General features: G+C 43.2%; 1 protein-coding gene across 10 annotated transcripts; it reads left to right on the forward strand.

Annotated features, from left to right (window-relative positions):
• The first annotated feature begins 24 nt into the window (after window positions 1-24).
• Window positions 25-22563, forward strand: CABYR (calcium binding tyrosine phosphorylation regulated). Of its 10 annotated transcripts, none has more exons than NM_012189.4 (6): window positions 25-81; window positions 4054-4222; window positions 4323-4376; window positions 16664-17962; window positions 20435-21032; window positions 22479-22563. In NM_012189.4, exons 2-4 carry the CDS (start codon window positions 4078-4080, stop codon window positions 17944-17946), a joined length of 1482 nt encoding a protein of 493 aa, NP_036321.2. In that variant the 5' UTR covers window positions 25-81; window positions 4054-4077; the 3' UTR covers window positions 17947-17962; window positions 20435-21032; window positions 22479-22563. The 10 variants fall into 10 exon arrangements, with proteins under 10 accessions (NP_036321.2, NP_722453.1, NP_722454.1 ...); NM_153769.3 differs by having other exon boundaries at window positions 16664-17005; NM_153770.3 differs by having other exon boundaries at window positions 16664-17005; window positions 20909-21032.

Here is a 22949-nt window from a genome sequence, read left to right on the forward strand (position 1 = left end):
CGCTCGCAAGCGCCAAGTCTCCTCAGGAGCCGCCGGCAAGGGGGCAACGAGGAAGCTCTTAAGAGCGCGGCCGGAAAGCAGGTGGGGAGAATCTGGAGAAAAGGCGCACCCTGCGGCCTCGGAGACCATTATGTCTCAGGGAGTCTCTCGCAGTGGGAGAGGTCGTCGGGGCAGGCGGAGGGTCCTCAGAGTCGGGGGTGGGGGGCCTGTGGGGCGGCCCCGGCCCACACCGGGGAGTGCGGCGACCAGACGGCCAGCTGCCGAATCTGAGGCCTCGGTGGGTCCGTCGCCCGCCTCTCTTGGACAAGTCCAGGCGATGTGAGCACGCCCAGCCTCCTACATTTCACTCCCGTCTCTCCCAAACAGACCTAGCGCAAAACGAGCACTGACACAGCGGGGGCCCACATCCCGGAGGTTCTTTAGGGAGAGGTCGGGGAGTGCGGTTACCTATGGCTCCGAAGTCCCCGCTGGCATCCTGAAAGGCATCGTATTTCTCGCTTAAGGCGTTACCCTTGTGGTAGTGGGCGCATGGACGTTTACAGTTGGGCGGGGCAGGATTTAAATTCCGCCAGTGGTGGACCAGTATTGGTGATAGGAGAGATCTGGGAAGAATTATTAAGCTGTCGCTTTTAAATAACCCTAATAGTGTTTGTGACAATTTTACCCGTTGACTTTTCTCAGCTTGCTTAGGACAGTTCTTTGTGGGGAACTGAACTGTAGGACGTTTAGCGTCCCTGGCCCCACACGTTCCCAAAGTCGGGGTGAGAACTAGTGGGACGGGGGATCATGGAGTGCATGGCCGCTGTCCCCACCTTTGGTAGCACCAACTGCTAACTGCCTCCTGAAAGGTTGTTGGCGCCATCATGGTTTCTGGGAGCCACTTTCTTTTTTATTCTTTTTTTTTTTTTTTGAGACGGACTCTAGCTGTGTCACCCAGGCTGGAGTGCAGTGGCGCGATCTCGGCTGTCAGCTCCGCCTCCCGGATTCACGCCATTCTCCTGCCTCAGCCTCCCGAGTAGCTGGGACTACAGGCACCCGCCACCACGCCCGGCTGATTTTTTGTTTTAGTAGAGACGGGGTTTCACCGTGTTAGCCAGGATGGTCTCCATCTCCTGACCTCGCCTCGTGATCCGCCCGACTCGGCCTCCCAAAGTGCTGGGATTACAGGCGTGAGCCACCGCGCCCGGCCTCTGGGAGCCACTTTCAAAACGGTCTATCTACTCACTTTGGGTACTTAAAGAAAATTAGACATATGATATATATGAGTATGTATCAAATATATATATGTATCAAATAGTATGTATGTATCAAACATGTCATGCTGCCTATGCCCCTTAGCATTTAGCATGTGGGACTGCGGAATCCCCACTTCTGATTTTTTAAAAAATTCTTTTTTTGTGAGTACACAGTAGGTGTATATATTTATGGGGCACATGAGATGTTTTGATTCAGACATACAATGTTAATCACATTGGGAATGGGGCATCTATCCCCTCAAACATTTATCCTTTGTGTTACAAACAATCCAGTTATACTCTTTCTGTTATTTTAAAATGTACAATTATTGACTATAGACACCCTGTTGTGCTTTCAAGTAGTAGGTTTTATTCATTTTTTATACCCATTAACCAGCCCCACTTTCCCCCTCCCCCACCCAGGCCCCATTACCTTTCCCAGCTTCTGGTAACCATCCTTCTCTATGTCCGTGGGTTCAATTGTTTCAATTTTTAGCTCTCACAAATAAGAGACCATGCAATGTTTTCCTTTCTGTGCCTCACTTACTTCATTTAACATAATAATCTCCAGTTCCATCCACTTTGTTGCAAATGACAGGATCTCATTCTTTTTTAATGGCTGAATAGTACTCCATTGTATGTATGTACCACATTTTCTTTATCCATTCATCTGTTGATAGACGCTTAGGTTGCTTCCAAATCTTAGCTATTGTCAACAGTGCTGGAACAAACATGGGAGTGCAGATATCTCTTCTGTATACTGATTTCCATTTGGGTATATACCCAGCAGTGGGATTGCTGGATCACTTCTGGTTTTTTAAAGATGGTTTAATTCAGTAAATCTGTTGAATGATATCGTAAAAGGAAGTTTTCATTAAGGGATTCAATTATACTTAATTATATACTGAAAGGATTTGCTTTGGCCAGTACAGATTCATTTTGTCCTGACCTTTGGGAAGATGAGATGTGTTTTTAAGTATTGAACATTTTGCTATGAGATATTCGTTACTTTATAATAGAAGCTGTGCCCTTCTATAATTGTTGTAACTGAACTATGCCACTTAACCCCGTGAAACTCATTATTTACTGTAGGGATGTTGTTGAGGACATGGTTCATTATATCACACTATTTGCTTTATAAGGACTTGGGGGAGAAATTTCTCCTGGGTTTCAGTATCCAGAATAGCTGTGGTTCTCCCATACAACTGATGTGTTTTTCACCTCAAGAAACCTGAATCATTTAACCACCTATCTCCTATTTTGTGATGGCTGCTTGGTAGCTTAGGGGCCGATTTGATGCCCATCTTTATCAAAGTGAAGGAGCTATGGCATGCATTGGAGTGCTAACTTTACCTGTAGCTTCACCTTGTTTTTCCTATCTTAGTTTTCCTAGGGATTTTCTTAAATATTTAATTTTGTTCTTTAGAAGCCTTAGGTGATTTTTTAGGAGTCAGAATACATACACCCTGACACAGTTTCAGGTGGCAGCCTCTGCAACTCTGAGAATTACAGGTTGGTCTGTGCAGTATCTCTGATACCACTTAAAAGGCAGAAAGGCAGAAGGGGAAACATAAGGGAAAATTTGGGAAGAGGGTAAGGGAGATATGAGAAACGAAAGGTACAAATGACAGTGGGTGGTATAATAATACCACAAATAAATTATACTCACACTGATTAATGTTAAAAACAAAGTTATTCCTGCAGGTACAAAGCAGGCTGAAAAAACCCCAAAATTTAAAGCTAAAAAATGCACACTTAAACATGAGCAATGGTCGGGCACGGTGGCTCATGCCTGTAATCCCAACACTTTGGGAGCCTGTGGGTGGATCACAAGGTCAGGAGTTCAAGACCAGCCTGGCCAAGATGGTGAAACCCTGTCTCTACTAAAAATACAAAAATTAGCCGGGCGTGGTGGCCAGTACCTGTAATCCCAGCTACTCGGGAGGCTGAGGCAGAGAATTGCTTGAACCCAGGAAGGGGAGGTTGCAGTTAGCTGAGATCACGCCACTGCACTCCAGCCTGGGTGGCAGAGCGAGACTCCATCTCAAAAAAAAAAGCAGCATGTCTGAGAATATATTTAGAAAAATAAGGAAAAACATTTTCTTATAGAAAAAAACTTATCTTGTAACTGTTTGATGAATATATGTACAGAAGGGCCAGTGCCTGTGTGGTTTGGAAGGACTTGTTTAGAAACAGATACATGAAATGTTAACTGCACAAAATATTCACTGAATTTTACAGAGGCAGGTCTTGTTTTTTGTTCTTTGTTTTTAATGTCCTCAGGGTCTTGGCAGGGCTTTTCCTATGGATTTCTATCATGGTACTAGATTGCTCATCTGCACATAGTAGGCTATTGTTAGTAGGGTTGTGTGTTTTTTTTTTTTAAACTACCATCAAGAATTAGCCCATTTTACTAAAATGAATACCTACATATTAGAACTAAAGCTGATAATTTTAATAGGAGATAGTTTATTCTTGGAAACTATAGTTAACTCATAAGGACTATTTTAGTCACTTTGGGAGGCCGAGGCGGGCAGATCATGAGGTCAGGAGATCGAGACCATCCTGGCTAACACGGTGAAACCCTGGCTCTACTAAAAAATACAAAAAATTAGCGGGGTGTGGTGCCATGTGCCTGTAGTCCCAGCTACTCAGGACGCTGAGGCTGGAGAATCGCTTGAACCTGGGAGGCGGAGGTTGCAGTGAGCTGAGATCACGCCACTGCACTCCAGCCTGGGTGACAGAGTCTCAAAAAAAAAAAAAAAAAAAACCTATTTTAGTAAAACTAATTACTTCTAAGACTTTTTCTTCATTCTAGTTGAGTTACAGACATCCTGCCAAAATGATTTCTTCAAAGCCCAGACTTGTCGTACCCTATGGCCTCAAGACTCTGCTCGAGGGAATTAGCAGAGCTGTTCTCAAAACCAACCCATCAAACATCAACCAGTTTGCAGCAGCTTATTTTCAAGAACTTACTATGTATAGAGGTTTGTTATTCCTTTATATATTTGCTGCTTTGAAAAAGAAAACATTTTAAGTTAGGAATTTCATGTATCTGTATTTGATTTCCTGTATTGATTCCTTCAGGGAATACTACTATGGATATAAAAGATCTGGTTAAACAATTTCATCAGATTAAAGGTAAGTACCACAAGTAGTAATAGTTTTAATAATGATGTTTATTAATTATTGCATCATGACTAGCATATATTCAAACTTAAGAATGGTGCCCACAAATTATTTTATGTTTAATCACATTGTTCCTTTTTAAAATATATATATATATATTTTTAGAGACATGCTCTGTCACCCAGGCTGGAGTGCAGCGGCGCCGTCATAGCTCACTGCAGCCTGGGCTCAAGGGATCCTCCTGTCTTAGCCTCCCAAGTAGCTTGGACTGCAGTTGTAAGTCACCATGTCCAACTAATTTTTTATAAATTTTTGATAGTGATGGGGTCTTGCCTCGTTGCCCAGGCTAGACTTGAACTCCTGGATGCAAGTGATCTTCCTGCCACAGCCTCCCACAGTGTTGGGATTACCGGCATGAGGAGAATTGGATTTCATAGTTATAAAGACTCAAATTATGAGATTACTGAGGAAAGTTGTATAAATACTTTGTTGGAAGGTTTTTTTTTTTTCCTTTGCAATGGAGTCTCACTCTGTTGCCCAGGCTGGAGTGCAGTGGCGTGATCTTGGCTCACTGCAACCTCTGCCTCCCGGGTTCAAACGATTCTCCTGCCTCAGCCTCCCGAGTAGTTGGGACTCCAGGCGCCCACCAGCATGCCTGGCTAACTTTTGTATGTTTAGTAGAGATGGGGTTTTGCCGTCTTGGCTAGGCTGGTCTCGAACTCCTGACCTCAGGTGATCTGCCTGCCTCAACCTCCCAAAGTGCTGGGATTATACCTATGAGCCACTGTGCCCAACTGCTGTGTATGGTTATTAGTGAGTCTTGATATTTTTGGATTATCCCAGTGAGAGTGATGATGAGCAAGGAATCAGGATGGGAAAAGCTCACATGAGCAGAGAGCTATAGTATATACATCCAAGCAGAGAATAAAATAAAAATTGGCCACTAGGCCTTAGATGCTACAGAGTACTAAAAGGAAGGAGATCTGCCAATCCTTGAGTGAGATAAACAGGTAACACTTTCCACAAAATGGAAACATTTTAAGCAATGAATGCAGCGATGTCAGAGACCAACACCTAGAGGGCAGGGCGTGATGGCTCATGCCTGTAATTCCAGCCTTTTGGAGGCTGAGGCGGGAGGAGGATCACTTGAGCCCCGGAGTCCAAGACCAGCCTAGGCAAAATAGTGAGACCCCCATCTCTAAACAAACAAACAAAAGAAAACAAAAACACCCAGAGACCAGTTATGCCTCTACCAGAGGTAATGGAGAGCAGCATAAAAGGACATGTGGATCAGAGACAGAGCTTACCCCAGACTCAGCTTACCCCTCTTTAGAAGGAGGAGAATCTTTAATAAAGGAGCAATAGCCCAAAAGACTCACTAATTAACCAAAAGACTTTTAAACTAGAAGGGACAGATTTTTAAACCAAGATCAAGAACTGCTATTGGGAAACAAGCATTTTAATGCAAGATGAGATCAGTTAGAGAAAGTAATACTTTTCTGGCATATCTAAGTCACAGTGTGTAAATTTTGACCCCTTTACAACAGCATGGCATCCAAAGCTTTCTATGATTTCAGTCTGTCCTACCTTTGTAATCATTGCAATCATCTCATTTCATAGACCTCATGTGCCATATATTTAAGACAATCTGTCATCTCCTGAAATGTGAAATTTCAAATCATTTGATTTGGGCTTATGTTCCTTCTCCCTCCAGGAGTTCCTTTCAACTCCTTTTTCTACCTTTTAAATCCTACATATCCTTGAAGTCCAATCCATAATTTCATTTAACAAATATTTAAATTCCTGACAATTTCCAGATGCTGTGCTAGGTGAAATTCAGCAGAGAGGGAGAGATTTTTCATTTCAGCTATGATAGAGAAGCCAGTATTGGACTTATCCTCCTATCATAAACAGACATAAAAGCTGTATAAATTATATAAAACGAAGTCCAGCACCTAGATTCTTGGGAGAAAGGACTTCTAGAAATTCAGCCCATATTCACAGAGGCTTTCTTCCTGAGGACACTTTCAAATTCTTGTGCAGGGAAATATAGCCCAAGCAGTGAGTGAAATCTAGGGAGAGGTGACAGAGGAGCAGAATTTGAGTCTTCAGTGTGGCTGGGATGTGAGTGACAGTACCAGAAAGGAGGCATTTTCAGAGAAGGACCTCCAAAAGTTTGCACAAAAATTTCCCTTGGGTTTTTGTCCAACTCCTAAGCTCCTCATGTGTGGAGTAAAGCTTGAGGAGGTTTAGCAGAAAAGAGCTATTGGGAGACTGAAAGCTAAGTCGAGAGATCAGAACCGTTTAGTGTTGGGAGAGGCTTTGCAGGTTGGGCCCAGCCAAAAATAAGAGATTTTTGTGAAACCGTGGCAATTCAGTTGAGACCTCAGAAAGGTCATAAACTATGAATAAAGTGTACTTTGAGGTATACGTAGTGCACTATCATACACTAGGAAGAAAGGTCATACACTCTGAATGTGCTAGGAGTAAGAACAAAGCTGAAGTATGCCCACTTCAACAGAATTTAGAATCAAATCTCAAGAGGATCAAATTGATTTGCCATTAGAACAAAATCAGTACCATTTAGAAGAAAATTAACAATCAGAGCCTTTACAACGTGTCATTTACAGTTTCCAGCATACAGTTAAAAACTACTAGACATTCAAAGAAGCAGGAAGAAGTGACTAATAAAGGCTAAAACAACACACTCACTAGAAACAGACCCATAGAATATCCTGATACTGGAATTACTACATGAGGTGGATAGAAAATAACCATGATTGATATTTTGAAAAGATGGAAAATAGATGAAAAGATGCAGAACTTCAACAGAGTTAGAAACTACAAAATAAGAAACATTTATTCCATAACTGCAAACTATAAAATTATATGGCTTTATTAGAAGACAGAATTAGGAAACTAAAAAACGAGCCAACAGACAACAACCAAATTAAGGCAAAGAGAAAAATAGAAAACAATGTAAGAGATGTATATGGAACATTGTCAAAAGGTCTGTGTCCACCTGTAGTCTCAGCTACTCAGGAGGCTGAGGCACGAGAACCGCTTGAACCTGGGAGGCAGAGGTTTCAGTGACCCAAGATTGCACCACTGCACTAAAGCCTAGGTGACAGAGCAAGACTGTCTAAAAAAAAAAAAGGTCTATGTCATTGCAGTCACAGGAAAAGAGTGGAAAAGTAGTAGTATTTGAAATGGCTGAGAATTTTCCCACTCTGAAAGACAAGTTTACAGGTTCAAGAAGTCTAATGAACCCATGGCAGGATAAATACAAAGAAAATGACACACAGGTACATCACAGCTAAACTGCTGAAAAAGACAAAATCTTGAGAGCAGGCGGAGGGGTAAAAGGGCACTTTACTTTTCAGGGGAACAATAATAAGACAAATAGGTGATTTCTTAATAGAAACCATAGAAGCCAAAAGACAATGGAATGACATAAAGTGACCTAGAATGCCAGCCTAGAATTAATATATACCCAGGGAATATATCCTTTAAAAAACGAATGCAAAATAAAGACATTCTCAGGCAGACAAAAACTGAGAAGAATGCATTGCCTACTCTACAAGAAATGCTTTTAAAGAAGTTTATAAGCAGGGGCATGGTGGTTCATGCCTGCAATCCAAGTGCTTTGGGAGGCTGAGGTGGGAGGATCACTTGAGGCCACGAGTTTGAGACCAGCCTCAGCAACACAGTGAGACCTTGTCTCTACAGAACATTTTTTAAAAATTAGCTGGGCATGGTGGCACACACCTGTAGTCGTGGATATTCAGGAGGCTGAAGCTGTGATCACACCACTGCACTTCAGCCTAGGTGACAGTGCAAAACCATGTCTCAAAAAAAAAAAAAAAAAAAAGCCTATAGGCAAGTGAGGAATACAAGGGAACTTCCTAAATCTAGGAATGGGTACACACACAAAAACTTACAGATGATCCAATTGACCCATTGTACCCAATGGTGAATATTGAATGCCTTCCCCTCAAGATTGGGACCAGGACAAAGATCTCCAATGTTACGATTTCTATTTAGCTTTGTACTGTAGGTTCTAATCAGTGCCATAAGGCAAACAAATTTTTTTAAAAAAGGAAAGGCATATTAAGAAATAAAACTATTCACAGATGACATGACTATGATGTAGGAAATCGAAAATAATCCACTTCTTTTTAATCAGCTTTATTCTATAGAGGAGAGGGTATATGGGACACAGCCCAGATGTTTATGGGCAGAAGGTTTAAAAAAGTACAGATACATTATCTAGTAGCTGTAAATCTTAAGATAATGAATTCAACAAGTACCCAGAGAGAAAATGGGTATTATGGATGTCATAGAATAAAAAACAGATATGGTATCTAAAGAGCAGCATTTAACACAATCCCCCTCTGTCATGTTTCTTTACGACTTCTAATTTATGCCTCATATCAGTTAGGAAAGCTTTCAGCTGCAAGTAACAGCAAATCAATTAAGAGTAACTTTAAGAAAACAACATATCTGAAAAGGTGTTCATTCTGCTCCTAATATAATTTAATAATAAGTATCACATATCTAGGCACTCTGCTGTGTCATTCTTAGGATGTTTTACATGTCCCCTCATGCTACTGCTCCAGGTGTTATGCCTGTGTTTACATCAGGAAGGAGGAGAAAGTGGTGGCAGTGGTGACATTTGTTCCTTTGATTAAGAAAGGAACACTTTTGCAAGTTTTCCAGCAGATTTCCGCTTCTGTCCCACAGGCCAAAGGAGGCTGATACAATTTATGGTAAGGGAGATCAGAATTGTCCCATGCATTGCAGGACATCTAGCATCCCTGATCCTGCCTCCTAAAATACTAATGCCTCCCAGGTATTGAAATAAATAAAAATGTCCCCTCTACATCTACGAATACTCTCAGTGGAAGGGGGATACTACTACCCCTTGAGAACCAGTGTGCCATTAGTGGTTTATCACCTGGGGCTGGGTACATTGCTGCCACTAATCTAGCTAAGATTATCTTAGCGAAGAATAAGGGAGGGAATGTCTGCTATTCCACCCACCCTGCTTTAATTCTTTGCCCTTAAGTGAAGTTGGGAGAGATGAGGTTTGGTAAAAATGTGGGGAGGGAGGATGTGTTGGGAGTGATGGTGTGTCTGGAATTGGTGGGTTCTTGGTCTCACTGACTTTAAGAATGAAGCCGCGGACCCTCACGGTGAGTTACAGCTCCTAAGGTGGCACGTCTGGAGTTTGCTCCTTCTGACGTTCGGATGTGTTCGGAGTTTCTTCCTTCTGGTGGGTTCGTGGTCTCGCTGGCTCAGGAGTGAAGCTGCAGACCTTCATGGTGAGTGTTACAGCTCTTAAGGCAGCACGTCTGGAGTTGTTTGTTCCTCCCGGTGGGCTCGTGGTCTTGCTGGCTTCAGGAGTGAAGCTGCAGACCTTCGAGGTGAGTGTTACAGCTCATAAAAGCAGTGTGGACCCAAAGAGTGAGCAGTGGCAAAATTTATTGCAAAGAGGAAAAACAAAGCTTCCACAGTGTGGAAGGGGACTTGAGCGGGTTGCCACTGCTGGCTCGAACAGCCTGCTTTTATTGTCTTATCTGGCCCCACCCACATCCTGCTGATTGGTAGAGCGGAGTAGTCTGTTTTGACAGGGTGCTGATTGGTGCGTTTACAATCCCTGAGCTAGACATAAAGGTTCTCCATGTCCCCACCAGATTAGATAGATACAGAGTGTGGACACAAAGGTTCTCCAAGGCCCCACCAGAGTAGCTAGATACAGAGTGTCGATTGGTGCATTCACAAACCCTGAGCTAGACACAGGGTGCTGATTGGTGCGTTTACAAACCTTGAGCTAGATACAGAGTGCCGATTGGTGTATTTACAATCCCTGAGCTAGACATAAAGGTTCTCTACGGCCCCACCAGAGTATCTAGATACAGAGTGTTGATTGGTGCATTCACAGACCCTGAGCTAGACACAGGGTGCTGATTGGTGTTTACAAACCTTGAGCTAGATAGAGAGTGCCGATTGGTGTACTTACAATCCCTGGGCTAGACATAAAGGTTCTCCACGTCCCCACCAGACTCAGGAGTCCAGCTGGCTTCACCCAGTGGATCCTGCACTGGGGACTGCAGGTGGAGCTGCCTGCCAGTCCTGGTGCCGTGCGCCTGCACTCCTCAGCCCTTGGGTGGTCGATGGGACTGGGTGCTGTGGAGCAGGGGGCGGTGCTCATCGGGGAGGCTCGGGCCGCACAGGAGTCCACGGAGTGGGTGGGAGGCTCAGGCATGGCGGGCTGCAGGTCCCGAGCCCTGCCCCGCAGGAAGGCAGCTAAGGCCCGGCGAGAAATCAAGCACAGCGCCGGTGGGCTGGCACTGCTGGGGGACCCAGTACACCCTATGCAGCCACTGGCCTGGGTGCTAAGCCCCTCATTGCCCGGGGCTGGCAGGGCCGGCCCGCTGCTCGGAATGCGGGGCCCGCCAAGCCCATGCCCACTCGGAACTCCAGCTGGCCCGCAAGCGCGGCGCGCAGCCCCGGTTCCCGCTGGCGCCTCTCCCTCCACACCTGCCTGCAAGCTGAGGGAGCCGGCTCTGGCCTTGGCCAGCCCAGAAAGGGGCTCCCACAGTGCAGCGGTGGGCTGAAGGGCTCAAGTGCCGCCAAAGTGGGAGCCCAGGCAGAGGAGGCGCCAAGAGCGAGCAAGGGCTCTGAGGACTGCAGCACGCTGTCACTTCTCAATGGGGTGAGGGAGACAGAAATAGACCCGGAAGAGAAGAGGGAAGGACAAAGCCAAAGAGATGCCAAACTGCATTTGGTGTTGCTCACTGTGGCCCAGAGAAGTTTGATGGCAGTGCTGGAGAACCAAGAGGAGAAGCAAGGCAAAGGGGCATGGCGTGGGAGAGATTACCTAGGATAGGCTGAATGGCTGTTCTCCCTCAAACTGGCCATGCCCTCTTTTGCTTTCCACCTCCTACAGTCCAAATTACTAGCCACTTTCACACGTTTTCCTTATTTCTAAAGCTTAACCAAAATTACCTAAAAGCCACTGTACCCCATACATATTTCAGTCACTGTGCTGACTACATTGTCATATAATCAATCATCTGCCTGTATCCTTAATCAGAATGAGATCTTTAGGAAGTCTTATTCCTCTTTGATAGATGGTGCAACTAATGTTTGTTGAATGAAGAAAGAATGGATGGAAGGGCAAGGAGGAAGAGGGGAGAAACTAAACCACCTACTTTATAGTCTCTGGTATTCTCATTCCAATCAGTTCAATACAGACTAGTTGGAATCTTTTGTTTTAAATTCTTAAAAGATTACGTACCATACATATTCCTGACTTTAAGCACTCTCTTTGAGCTTCCCACCTCCCACCTCCAGTTTTTTTGTTTTTTTGTTTTTTGTTTTTTTTTTTTTTTGAGACGGAGTCTCACTCTGGCCCCAGGCTGGAGTGCAGTAGTGAGATCTCAGCTCACTGCAAGCTCCGCCTCCCGGGTTCACGCCATTCTCCTGCCTCAGCCTCCCGAATAGCTGGGACTACAGGCGCCCGCCACCACGCCCGGCTAATTTTTTGTATTTTTAGTAGAGACAGGGTTTCACCGTGTTAGCCAGGATGGCCCACCTCCAATTCTTATACAGCCTCTCGTATCTCTTGTTAGGCCCTGCTGCTTATACACTTGTGGTCTTTGATACCTTTCAGATTTCCCATTCCATGCCAGAATATGTCCTTTTCCTTATGCTTCTTGGGCAGTTATGTACTTCAGTACCCTGAATCTCCATGAGTTGTGCCTATTTAAAAAAATACCATATGCTTGGAATTTATCTCTTTATCTTACTGGTTTCATGGAAAATCAGGATTCTGCAATGAATTTTAAAGTTAGCCAATTTGAGTCATTTTATTATACTTAAAAAGGAACTTTTTTACAAGAAGGAATGCCTTTAGTTATGTTCCTAATTCTCAGTGTGTATAGTTTTGTCAGCTTAAGTAGAACCAGATCACCAAAGTCATAGTGGGTTAATCTTCATAAGGTTGAAAGATCAACCTTTAGCAAACCTAGTTTGCAACTTGAAGAAATTCTGTCTTATACAACCGACATAATCTCAAGGTTACAAGTCAGCGACTGTTGTAAGTATTTAAAGCTAACCTTAAAACATTAGAGAAAAGCTTTTTACCCTTCTTAATAAACAGATAATGACATGAACTCAATATAGATTTACATTATATGTGTATAGTAACTAGTAAGTATATATTTGCCAGCATTCTTTCATGTATTCCAAACAAAGCCAAATGGTTGATCTAGTGTTGGCTTTTTTTTTTTTTTTTTTTAAAGACAGAGTCTAGCTTTGTTGCCCAAGCTGGAGTGCAGTGGCACAATCTCAGCTCACTGCAACCTCTACCTCCCGGGCTCAAGCAATTCTCCTGCCTCAGCTTCCTGAGTACCTGGGATTACAGGCATGTGCCACTGTGTCTGGCTTATTTTTGTATTTTTAGTAGAGACAGAATTTCACTATGTTGGCTGGGCTGGTCTCGAACTCCTGGCCTCAAGTGATCTGCCTGCCTCAGCCTCCCAAAGTGCTGGGATTATACGCATGAGCCATCGTGCCTGACCTAGTGTTTGCATTTGCAAAAACACTATAAAAGTTTAAGGCATCTGGTCTCAGTTTTTAATTATGAAAAAGTCCATAAGTATATAACACACACATATAAAGAAAAAACATCCTGTATTTTACCACCCAGTTTAGGAAATAGCCAATTTAATTTTAATCAAAGCTGAATTAAAGATATTTGAGATTTATATTTTTAATTTGATATCACATTTTCAAAACTTTTCTGTATCACTTTTTAAATGGGTACTGATTCACTCCTTCCCCATTTATATGTGATTTAGAGTTTATTCAGTGCTTTCAGATGCATTATTTCACTTAGTGTCCACAGAAACTCCATGAAGTCAGAGTTATAATCCCCATTTTGCAAGTGAGGAGGCCTGAAGCTTGGAACAGTTGACTTGGTCATGCAGCTATTAAATCTCAGAACCAGGACTAGAACCTAGGTTTTCTCATTAACTTTTTTACTATGAGAAAGTTGCAGGGAAGAAAACAATATCATACATTCCCTGGTAAATTGTTAAGGATTCATAATTATAAATGCTTTACCTTTCCAGAATGGTGGTTATAAGGGATGTTTTTGTTTAGCAGGGGACTTCCAGAGACAAAAATATTGAGCTTTTTTAACATTTAAAAAATTAATTACATTTTAATCTTCTAGACGTAATTTCAGGTACCATGAACCTGTGAGGGAGACACTTTTAATTAAAAGAGCAAGTGGTCCTTTCCAGAGTTGCCTAAGTCATACCACAAGCAACCTGTCAGGTCCCGTGCAGGCAGTCTAGGGATTGCAGTAATCCAATCCCTAGATTGGCTGCATTCTTGATAAACGCTCATGGTAAGTAAATCAGTGGTTGGAGAATTTAAGACCTAATGGGGGAAAATAGGGAGGCCTTGAATTGGTGTGGGTATGGGGAGGTCAGTCTGGTTAGGAGTTGGACTTGGGTTTTATTGTTGCTTTCATTACCTTCACTGTACTACAGGCCTCAAAACCTTCTAGAAGGCTGCCAAGACCTTTTGCCTGAGGGTGGGGCTGGGGTGCCAGAGGGTATTTCTCAGCATCTGTGCTTCCCCCTCAGCTTTCAGCCTTCTCTGCCAGCATGCCCCACAAAGGGCATCTCTCTCCAAATTCTTGCCCCCCTCTCCTGGTGGCAGCCTGCTGTCTCTTGTTTCTTAGCCTTGGGCTGGTTAGCAGTACAGGAGGTTCCCTGTTGTTCTGGGCCTGCCTTAGGCCTAGGCTGGACTTGTGCACCTGGGCTTTGGACACGGGGCTTTCTCGGTGTTCCTGCCCTCCGTCATGTGGTAGCCAAACTCTGCCTTCTCTCTGTGGTCAGTCTTGAGCCAGTGTCTCCTGTCTCTGTCTTGATAATAGGAGCGCTCTCTCTGGCCTTCAGCCCTGCCTCCATCTTTCATGTGAGGCACGTGGAAAAGTGTTTGCTAATGAGTGCGAATTCTCCTTGGGTCTGGAGTCCCAGGTAATTCCAGACTGACATCTAGTGCACCTTTGGCCTTTACCAGTACGTTAAGATTATAGCTGGTACATTCTTACCAGCTGGTGTGATGGCAGCCTATTCTTTCTGGGCCCTGCTACAGCTGAGACTGTTCTTATGTCCCTTTTCTCCCTGGAGGGGCTGGTTCCTCTTTTGAAATCAGATTACTTGATTACTTGGTTACCTTTTGACTTCAGCTCTCTGCTGGACTCAAGAAAAGTTATGTTTTTGTGGCTTATCTATCTGGCTTTTTCCTGTTGTTATGATGGAAACAATGTATTTTGTAGCTTTCTATATCCTAAGCATAAGAGTAACTCTCCCAAGGTCAGGCTTAAATAAGATTTTTCGGCTGGGTGCGGTGGCTCAACCCCTGTAATCCCAGCACTTTGGAAGGCCGAGGCAGGTGGATCACAAGATCAGGAGTTCAAGACTAGCTTGGCCAACATGGTGAAACCCTGTCTCTACTAAAAATACAAAAATTAGCCGGGCATGGTGGCAGGTGCCCATAGTCCCAGCTACTCAGGAGGCTGAGGCAGGAGCATTGTTTGAACCCGGGAGGTAGAGGTTGCAGTGAGCCAAGATGGCACCACTGCACTCTAGCCTGGGCAACAGAGCAAGACTCCATCTCAAAAAAAAAAAAAAAAAAAAAAAAAATTTTTCCCCTCCTCAGAACTCCAAGATCTTTATTAGTTCCAATTAGGTATTTGTACTTTTTAACCTATATTTGTCTATCTTATTTCTCCTATTAAATGTAAGCTATATTGAGGTCTCGTCTTAATAGTCTTTCTATCCTCAACAGTGCCTAGACCATTCTTACATGTAGTATGTAGCACAAGCACTCAGTCAGATGTGCTGGTGGATAAAAGGGCTTTCCTAAAAACTGGATGGGAAAGTCCTGAAGAGGTGAATGGTTAGGAAAATGAGGTTATTGTTCTAAGCAGAGGGAGGTAATGATAGATGTGGCTTTCTCTCTTTTTGAATCTTTCTCTGCATGTGAGCATTTGGTATAATGTCCATGTCCCGAATTAGAAATCTTAATTGAATTTATAAAACATCAGCAGCCAATGTCAAAGGAGACACTGCAGGACACTATTTTTCAGAATGCAGCTGAACCTATTGAAAACATGTCTCCAAAGTTTTGACTTGAGCCAAATATATTCTTATGAAGCAAATTCTGCTTTTCTTATAAATTTCATTAGAGAAATGCTTCCCAAAGGAAAATTCTCAGCAAACAGATGTGAAAACTTTTGATGAGTTAATGACTAAGGTAGTTAGGTGTGTGGGTGATGCACATAAAATATTACAGCAGTTTTCCAACTCTAGGATTTTGTATATGTCATCAGCTGTTGTGACCTTCCAACCCATGAGAATTTTCCTCATGCCTGAGGATTCACTTAAGGCTACACTTTCAGATCCAGAGATATCTTTCTTTTCCTCTTGGCTGGGTCAGTCTGACTTTGGCTGCATGATCACACATTATTAGCAGGTGCTACCATTTTTAGGTTAGAATATGTGACTTTCTTAAAGTAAAAAAAATCCTATAGTCCTCTAGCTTATCAATTCATTAAGTTAAACTTTATATACCAATTTTCTTAAATGGAGGAATGCCTTTATTAATATGCAGCATCTATGTCATTACTAAATTACTATACCAACAAAGATGAAATAATTTATTGCCCAAGTTGGTCTCCCCCCCACCCAACCTTTTTCCCCAGTTTTGTGTGGAAGTTTGATCAGGAGCTTTTTCCATGGAGGTTTTCAGCTTCCTTAGTTCTAGGCACAAAGTTATGATCTTTCCCTGATGCTGACCACCTTAGGATGATATCTGATTATTAGTCTTGCTACTGCGCTATTAAGTGTCACTTATTTCTAAGGAAATGAATTGAGGGTCTTGGACAGGATAAGGACAGGAATGTTTTATTACCCACACTACAGATGTTGGAAAACAAAGCTGAAAACTCTTTTAATTTGTGTCTATACTGACATCTGAATGCTTAACCCATTATTGCTTTTTTTTTTGGTGGTGGTGGGTAGAGATGGGGTCTCACTGTTGCCCAGGCTGGTCTTGAACTCCTGGGCTCAAGCGATCCTCCTGCCTCAGCCTTCCAAAGTCCTGGGATTACAGGCATGAGCCACTACATCCCTATTATTGCCTTCTTTAAAAATCTTTTCTTCTCTAAAAATCTTTTTAGATGTTAATTAACCCATCTGGTTGTTGTTTTTCAGTAGAGAAATGGTCAGAAGGAACGACACCACAGAAGAAATTAGAATGTTTAAAAGAACCAGGAAAAACATCTGTAGAATCTAAAGTACCTACCCAGATGGAAAAATCTACAGACACAGACGAGGACAATGTAACCAGAACAGAATATAGTGACAAAACCACCCAGTTTCCATCAGTTTATGCTGTGCCAGGCACTGAGCAAACGGAAGCAGTTGGTGGTCTTTCTTCCAAACCAGCCACCCCTAAGACTACTACCCCACCCTCATCACCACCTCCAACAGCTGTCTCACCAGAGTTTGCCTACGTCCCAGCTGACCCAGCTCAGCTTGCTGCTCAGATGTTAGGTAAAGTTTCATCTATTCATTCTGATCAATCTGATGTGTTAATGGTGGATGTGGCAACCAGTATGCCTGTTGTTATCAAGGAGGTGCCAAGCTCAGAGGCTGCTGAAGATGTCATGGTGGCTGCTCCTCTTGTGTGTTCTGGAAAGGTGCTAGAAGTGCAGGTTGTGAACCAAACATCTGTCCATGTAGATTTGGGTTCTCAACCTAAAGAAAATGAGGCTGAACCATCAACGGCTTCCTCAGTCCCCTTGCAGGATGAACAAGAACCTCCTGCTTATGATCAAGCTCCTGAGGTCACTTTGCAGGCTGATATTGAGGTTATGTCAACTGTTCATATATCATCTGTCTATAACGATGTGCCTGTGACTGAAGGAGTTGTTTATATCGAGCAACTGCCAGAACAAATAGTTATCCCTTTTACTGATCAAGTTGCTTGTCTTAAAGAAAATGAGCAGTCAAAAGAAAATGAGCAGTCACCACGAGTTAGTCCCAAATCTGTAGTAGAAAAGACCACCTCTGGCATGTCTAAAAAATCTGTAGAGTCTGTAAAACTTGCACAGTTGGAGGAGAATGCAAAATATTCCTCAGTATATATGGAGGCAGAAGCAACAGCTCTGCTCTCTGACACATCTTTGAAAGGTCAGCCTGAGGTACCTGCACAACTCCTGGATGCAGAAGGTGCTATCAAAATAGGCTCTGAAAAATCTCTGCACCTTGAAGTGGAGATCACTTCAATAGTCTCTGACAATACTGGGCAGGAGGAGTCTGGGGAAAACTCTGTACCCCAGGAGATGGAAGGCAAACCTGTGCTCTCTGGGGAAGCTGCAGAAGCAGTGCACTCAGGTACATCTGTAAAGTCATCTAGTGGCCCCTTCCCTCCTGCTCCAGAAGGCCTTACTGCACCAGAAATTGAACCAGAAGGGGAATCAACAGCTGAATAAGGTTTGATGAAGCCAGGTAAGAAAATCAGGTATTTCCATTACAAATTGCATTTCAGGTGACATCTGTATTTCAGGTAGCCATCTCTGTCGGCTCCCTGCAGATTGGTCAGTCTTTATTTTCAATAGACTTTTTTTAAATGCCAAAGCCATTTAAAGACTTTGTTGTATTTGAGATTCTACTACTATGAGAGGAGTGATTTTAAAGTGATGTCCCCAAAGCCTGGCCTCAGAGTTTGGTCATCTAGCACTTTTGCGTTATTCTTTTGGACATATTATGTAGTCAACAACAGTATAGCCTGTTGTCAGGTACAAAATATATTCATGTGATCTGAATATGCTGATTGCAAAACTGTAATTAGAGGGTGTTGGTTTGAAATTTTCCTCTTGTGAATCTAAAAATTAAACTACAGCAATGCATTTACATAGGCTATGGCATTTTAAAAAGTGAAAAAATGGTGGTGTGTTTGACTGCTTTCACACTGAGTCAGGAGAGCTCTGTAACCAGGTTTGGGGTGCTGGGCCATGCGTTTGTGTTCTGCCTGGGAGCTTCCTGCAGCTGAAGGAGCAGTTTCATAGCTAGATGGAGAGGGGAAAGGTCAGGGGAGCCGGGAGGTATCAGCAGCAGAAAGGACGGCCCGGCACTTGCGGCACTTGAACAGCAATAGATGCAGTTCACGTAATTGGCTTCCTTTGATCAGCTCCCTCTTCCTGGCAAGTGCCAAAATCAAGCTGCTTTCTTGGCTGTTGAACTATCACCATGTTTTCCTATGACATAGACATGATGTGACCTTCATCTCCATCTAATTATGGCATTTGGTCTGCTCACCTTCCTGCCTTATGGATAATTGCAGGGGCCCTTCTCTTTTTAGGGACAGAAGGGACGTGCATGAGCCAACCCCCCATTCCTTTTGCAAAAACTCTTTCAATCCTGACTCTTAACTGAGCCAGAGTGATTCAAAAAGTGTTAGCAAAGCAGGTGTTTAGAAAAGATCACATTTTGTCTGGCAGTGTGACAGGGATTCTGCACAGCTGGAAAGGCAGAGGGCAGCGCTGGGAGTGGAGCGTGTGGGACTGGCACTATATTTGTGGCTTAAGCAGCATATCCAGACCAAGTCACTGTTTTCAAATGCTTAACTATTTCTAAAGGAAAACAGAGTTGTCCACAACACTAAGAGGATACTAACCACAAATTCAGATTATCAAAACCTCTCTCCCTGTGAGACAGCTGAAGACCTGGCTTGTACATATTTTTCAACAAGCTTAAAAAAAAAGATTACTTGAAAGTATCTGAAGCTGTTGGAAAAATGGCCACTTAATCATGTGCGTAGTATTATTTCTTTTTTTTTTTTTTTGAGACGGAGTTTTGCTCTTGTTGCCCAGGCTGGAGTGCAGTGGCGTGATCTTGGCTCACCACAACCTCCGCCTCCTGGGTTCAAGTGATTCTCCTGCCTCAGCCTTCCGAGTAGCTGGGATTACAGGCATGCGCCACCATGCCCGGCTAATTTTGTATTTTTAGTAGAGATGGAGTTTCTCCATGTTGGTCAGGCTGGTCTCGAACTCCCGACCTCAGGTGATCCACCCTCCTCGGCCTCCCAAAGTGCTGGGATTACAGGCGTGAGCCACTGCGCCCGGCCCGTAGTGTTATTTTCTTTTCAGGGGAAGAAAAAAGGCTGCACCGGGGATAGATGGCCCAGCGTTCAAAAGGTAAACTCGGCACATTTGGGCAAAGTGAAACTCCTCTATTGGGAACCTTTTGTCCGAGGGCCCATCTTCTGGGACTTGGTTCTCCCAAGACAGTACTGTCTTCAAGAGGCAGGTCACACTTGCATTATAGATGGCACTCCTAAACCTCTTTTTCTCAACCCAAAGAATCCCTGTGGGACCAGCCAGCCTTTTACTGCCACCTAGGATCTATGATTTCAAGTCTTGCCTAAAAGGGGTGCTCTCTGGGGTTCTCAATCCTAGATTATGTGACGTTTTATGTGTGGTAACAAATTAATGGGAGATAATGGTGCCTCTGAAGGGCCAGAGAGATTTTGATTATGTGAAGATGACACCTAGTGCTAACTTCTTTAGGAAATAAACACTATGCAGATGCACTAACGCTTCCTTTAATGGCTTAACACACTCTTCAATTGACTTTTGGGTAAAGCTAAAGGTTGTGTTGACCAGTTTCGTCTGCGAGGAGCCTATAGAAGCCACGTCTAAAGTTGAAGTAGCTGGAAACTGCAACTTAGAATAAGATTGCTTCTTCAGCCACAACTGTAGTGTCCCTGCCACTTGCCACCACAACACTGTTCTCCTTTTTCAACTGTAGAGAATCTCTTTCACCTGTCAAACACGATTATGCAGCCCTCTCTATAGCATGCTCTACGGTACATATCACTACAGCTGTTTTATATGTAAAAGAGACTTACAAAGACATTACTATGCATAGTGCCTGATACAGAGACCAAAACTTTAATTCCTGCAAAATTTTTTTTTATAGCAATGGCAACAAGTGAACGAGGACAACCACCACCATGTTCTAACATGTGGACCCTTTATTGTCTAACTGATAAGAATCAACAAGGTCACCCATCACCGCCACCTGCACCTGGGCCTTTTCCCCAAGCAACCCTCTATTTACCTAATCCTAAGGATCCACAGTTTCAGCAGCATCCACCAAAAGTCACTTTTCCAACTTATGTGATGGGCGACACCAAGAAGACCAGTGCCCCACCTTTTATCTTAGTAGGCTCAAATGTTCAGGAAGCACAGGGATGGAAACCTCTTCCTGGACATGCTGTCGTTTCACAGTCAGATGTCTTGAGATATGTTGCAATGCAAGTGCCCATTGCTGTTCCTGCAGATGAGAAATACCAGAAACATACCCTAAGTCCCCAGAATGCTAATCCTCCAAGTGGACAAGATGTCCCCAGGCCAAAAAGCCCTGTTTTCCTTTCTGTTGCTTTCCCAGTAGAAGATGTAGCTAAAAAAAGTTCAGGATCTGGTGACAAATGTGCTCCCTTTGGAAGTTACGGTATTGCTGGGGAGGTAACCGTGACTACTGCTCACAAACGTCGCAAAGCAGAAACTGAAAACTGGTAGGTACACTTTCCTACCATAATATTTAGGCCTTAACACACGCGCGTTTTAAGCATTTTGATTTCTTGACCTGGAGATTTAGATATTTAAAAACAATTTGAGATAATAAGTTGGGGTATACTCTAACTTCCTGGGGTTACTGTCTCCAACTTCCTAAACACCAGTTACTAATAAATGCACAGCAGGTGCACTGTACCACAATGACTCATGCCAAGGATTTGATGCCCGATACATGAAACTAATGAACTCAGTCACCTTTGAATACCTAGTCCATTGTCTAACAAACACAGTGGTAGATGCGAAAAGGGGATGGATTTTTAAAACAGGACAATTTAGTTGGCATGTTTAGGGAGTAGGGAGGAGCTGGGAACAACTGAAGAGCAAGGTAAGAGAGAAAGTCTTGATTATGTAACAGAACACTTAATCCACGTGGTAAGAGGCAGTAGATGGAGAGGTGAGAGGCAGAGTAAAGAGCTAAACAACAGCTGAGATTAACTGTGGATGAGACAGTTTGATCACTCACAAATCATTTTTTAATTTTTCATTCATACTTAATGCCAAACCTTATGCTAGCCCTCCTCCCCTATGTGTGGACAGTAGCGTGAGCAAAAACATGGGACCTACATCTTAGTTGGGGAGACAGACAAAAAAGTGTATTACAACATGTAAAGTATTATGGAGAAAACAGGGTGCTGACACAGGCCTACCTTTAATTGTCACTATTAGGTAGGGTGTTCAGGCTCAGATGTAAACTGACACCTGAGTATGAGAAGAAGCCAGCTTTGCAGGGTGCGCCCAGGCTGTGTCCTAGGGCAGAAAAGAACACGGGGGTTCCAGAGACAGCGAAGTAGGCCACAGTGAGACTGGCTGGGGGGAAATGGGGAGATTATATAAAATGAAGAAAGATTTTGATTGAAAAGTTCAATGGGAAGCCAGCACAAGTGTTTTAAGCAGAAGAATGACTGATTGCTGTTTTTATTAGATCACTCAGGCTGCTATGTGGAAAACAGATTAGCAGTAAGGGGGAGGTCAACAGAGGAAGTAGGGAGATGAGTTGAAAGTACAGAAGTGTTATACACCAATTAGTTACTTAAAATAATTAGTGGGAATTTTAAGTTGAGCATCTGAGAGATCGACAAAAGCTAGATTTCATTCATAAGCAGGCTCAAGGACCAGTTACTATATTTAAGGAAAGACAAAATTATCTTATCTTAGGGCTACATGTACTTCTTCAACCTCTTTATGGACTTCTGGTGGAATTGCCAAAATGGCTGTTTTCAGCATGAAATTGCTGGGATATTTCAGTGCAAAAGCCCATAGGTAACTAGTTAAGCTTAGTAACAGAGCAGGAGGGTAGACCTTGCATTTCTAATCTTCTGCTCATTTCACATGTTCGGTTTCATGTTTAACTTTAAACAATTCAATGTTTGCATTATTCCTAACAGATCCAGAAATGACGCTGTCTGGGTCAACATTTCAGGGAGGAGTCTGCCACCAGTGTAATGTATCAATAAACTTCATGCAAGCATACAATTTTGTATTGCTTTTTTTTGTAATTTAGGAGGACTACAACCAACCAACCAAACACAAAAGGCCTATCAATCATCTATCTTTTCAGACTTATAAAGCAATAGCATTTTCCAACTCCTATGTGTATACTTTTTTAAACTATTCCCACTCTAACAGATCTAGTAACAAATTTTCTAACCAGGTAGTTCCACTTGATTCTGCATTTGAGATTCACACCGAATGAATACGGTAGCACCTCTCTATGCTGTATCTATCTAGCATTCAGTTAATCTCTGGATAGATAAATGCCTACTTACCACTATGCATGCCAGGTAACTGGTTATCATCTCCTTGACCCTGGGAGCTATGGTACCACAAGGACTTCTTTCGTAGGACACGTCTAACAA

Source organism: Homo sapiens, chromosome 18, assembly GCF_000001405.40.
Source record: "Homo sapiens chromosome 18, GRCh38.p14 Primary Assembly".
NCBI classification, from domain to species: domain Eukaryota; kingdom Metazoa; phylum Chordata; class Mammalia; order Primates; family Hominidae; genus Homo; species Homo sapiens.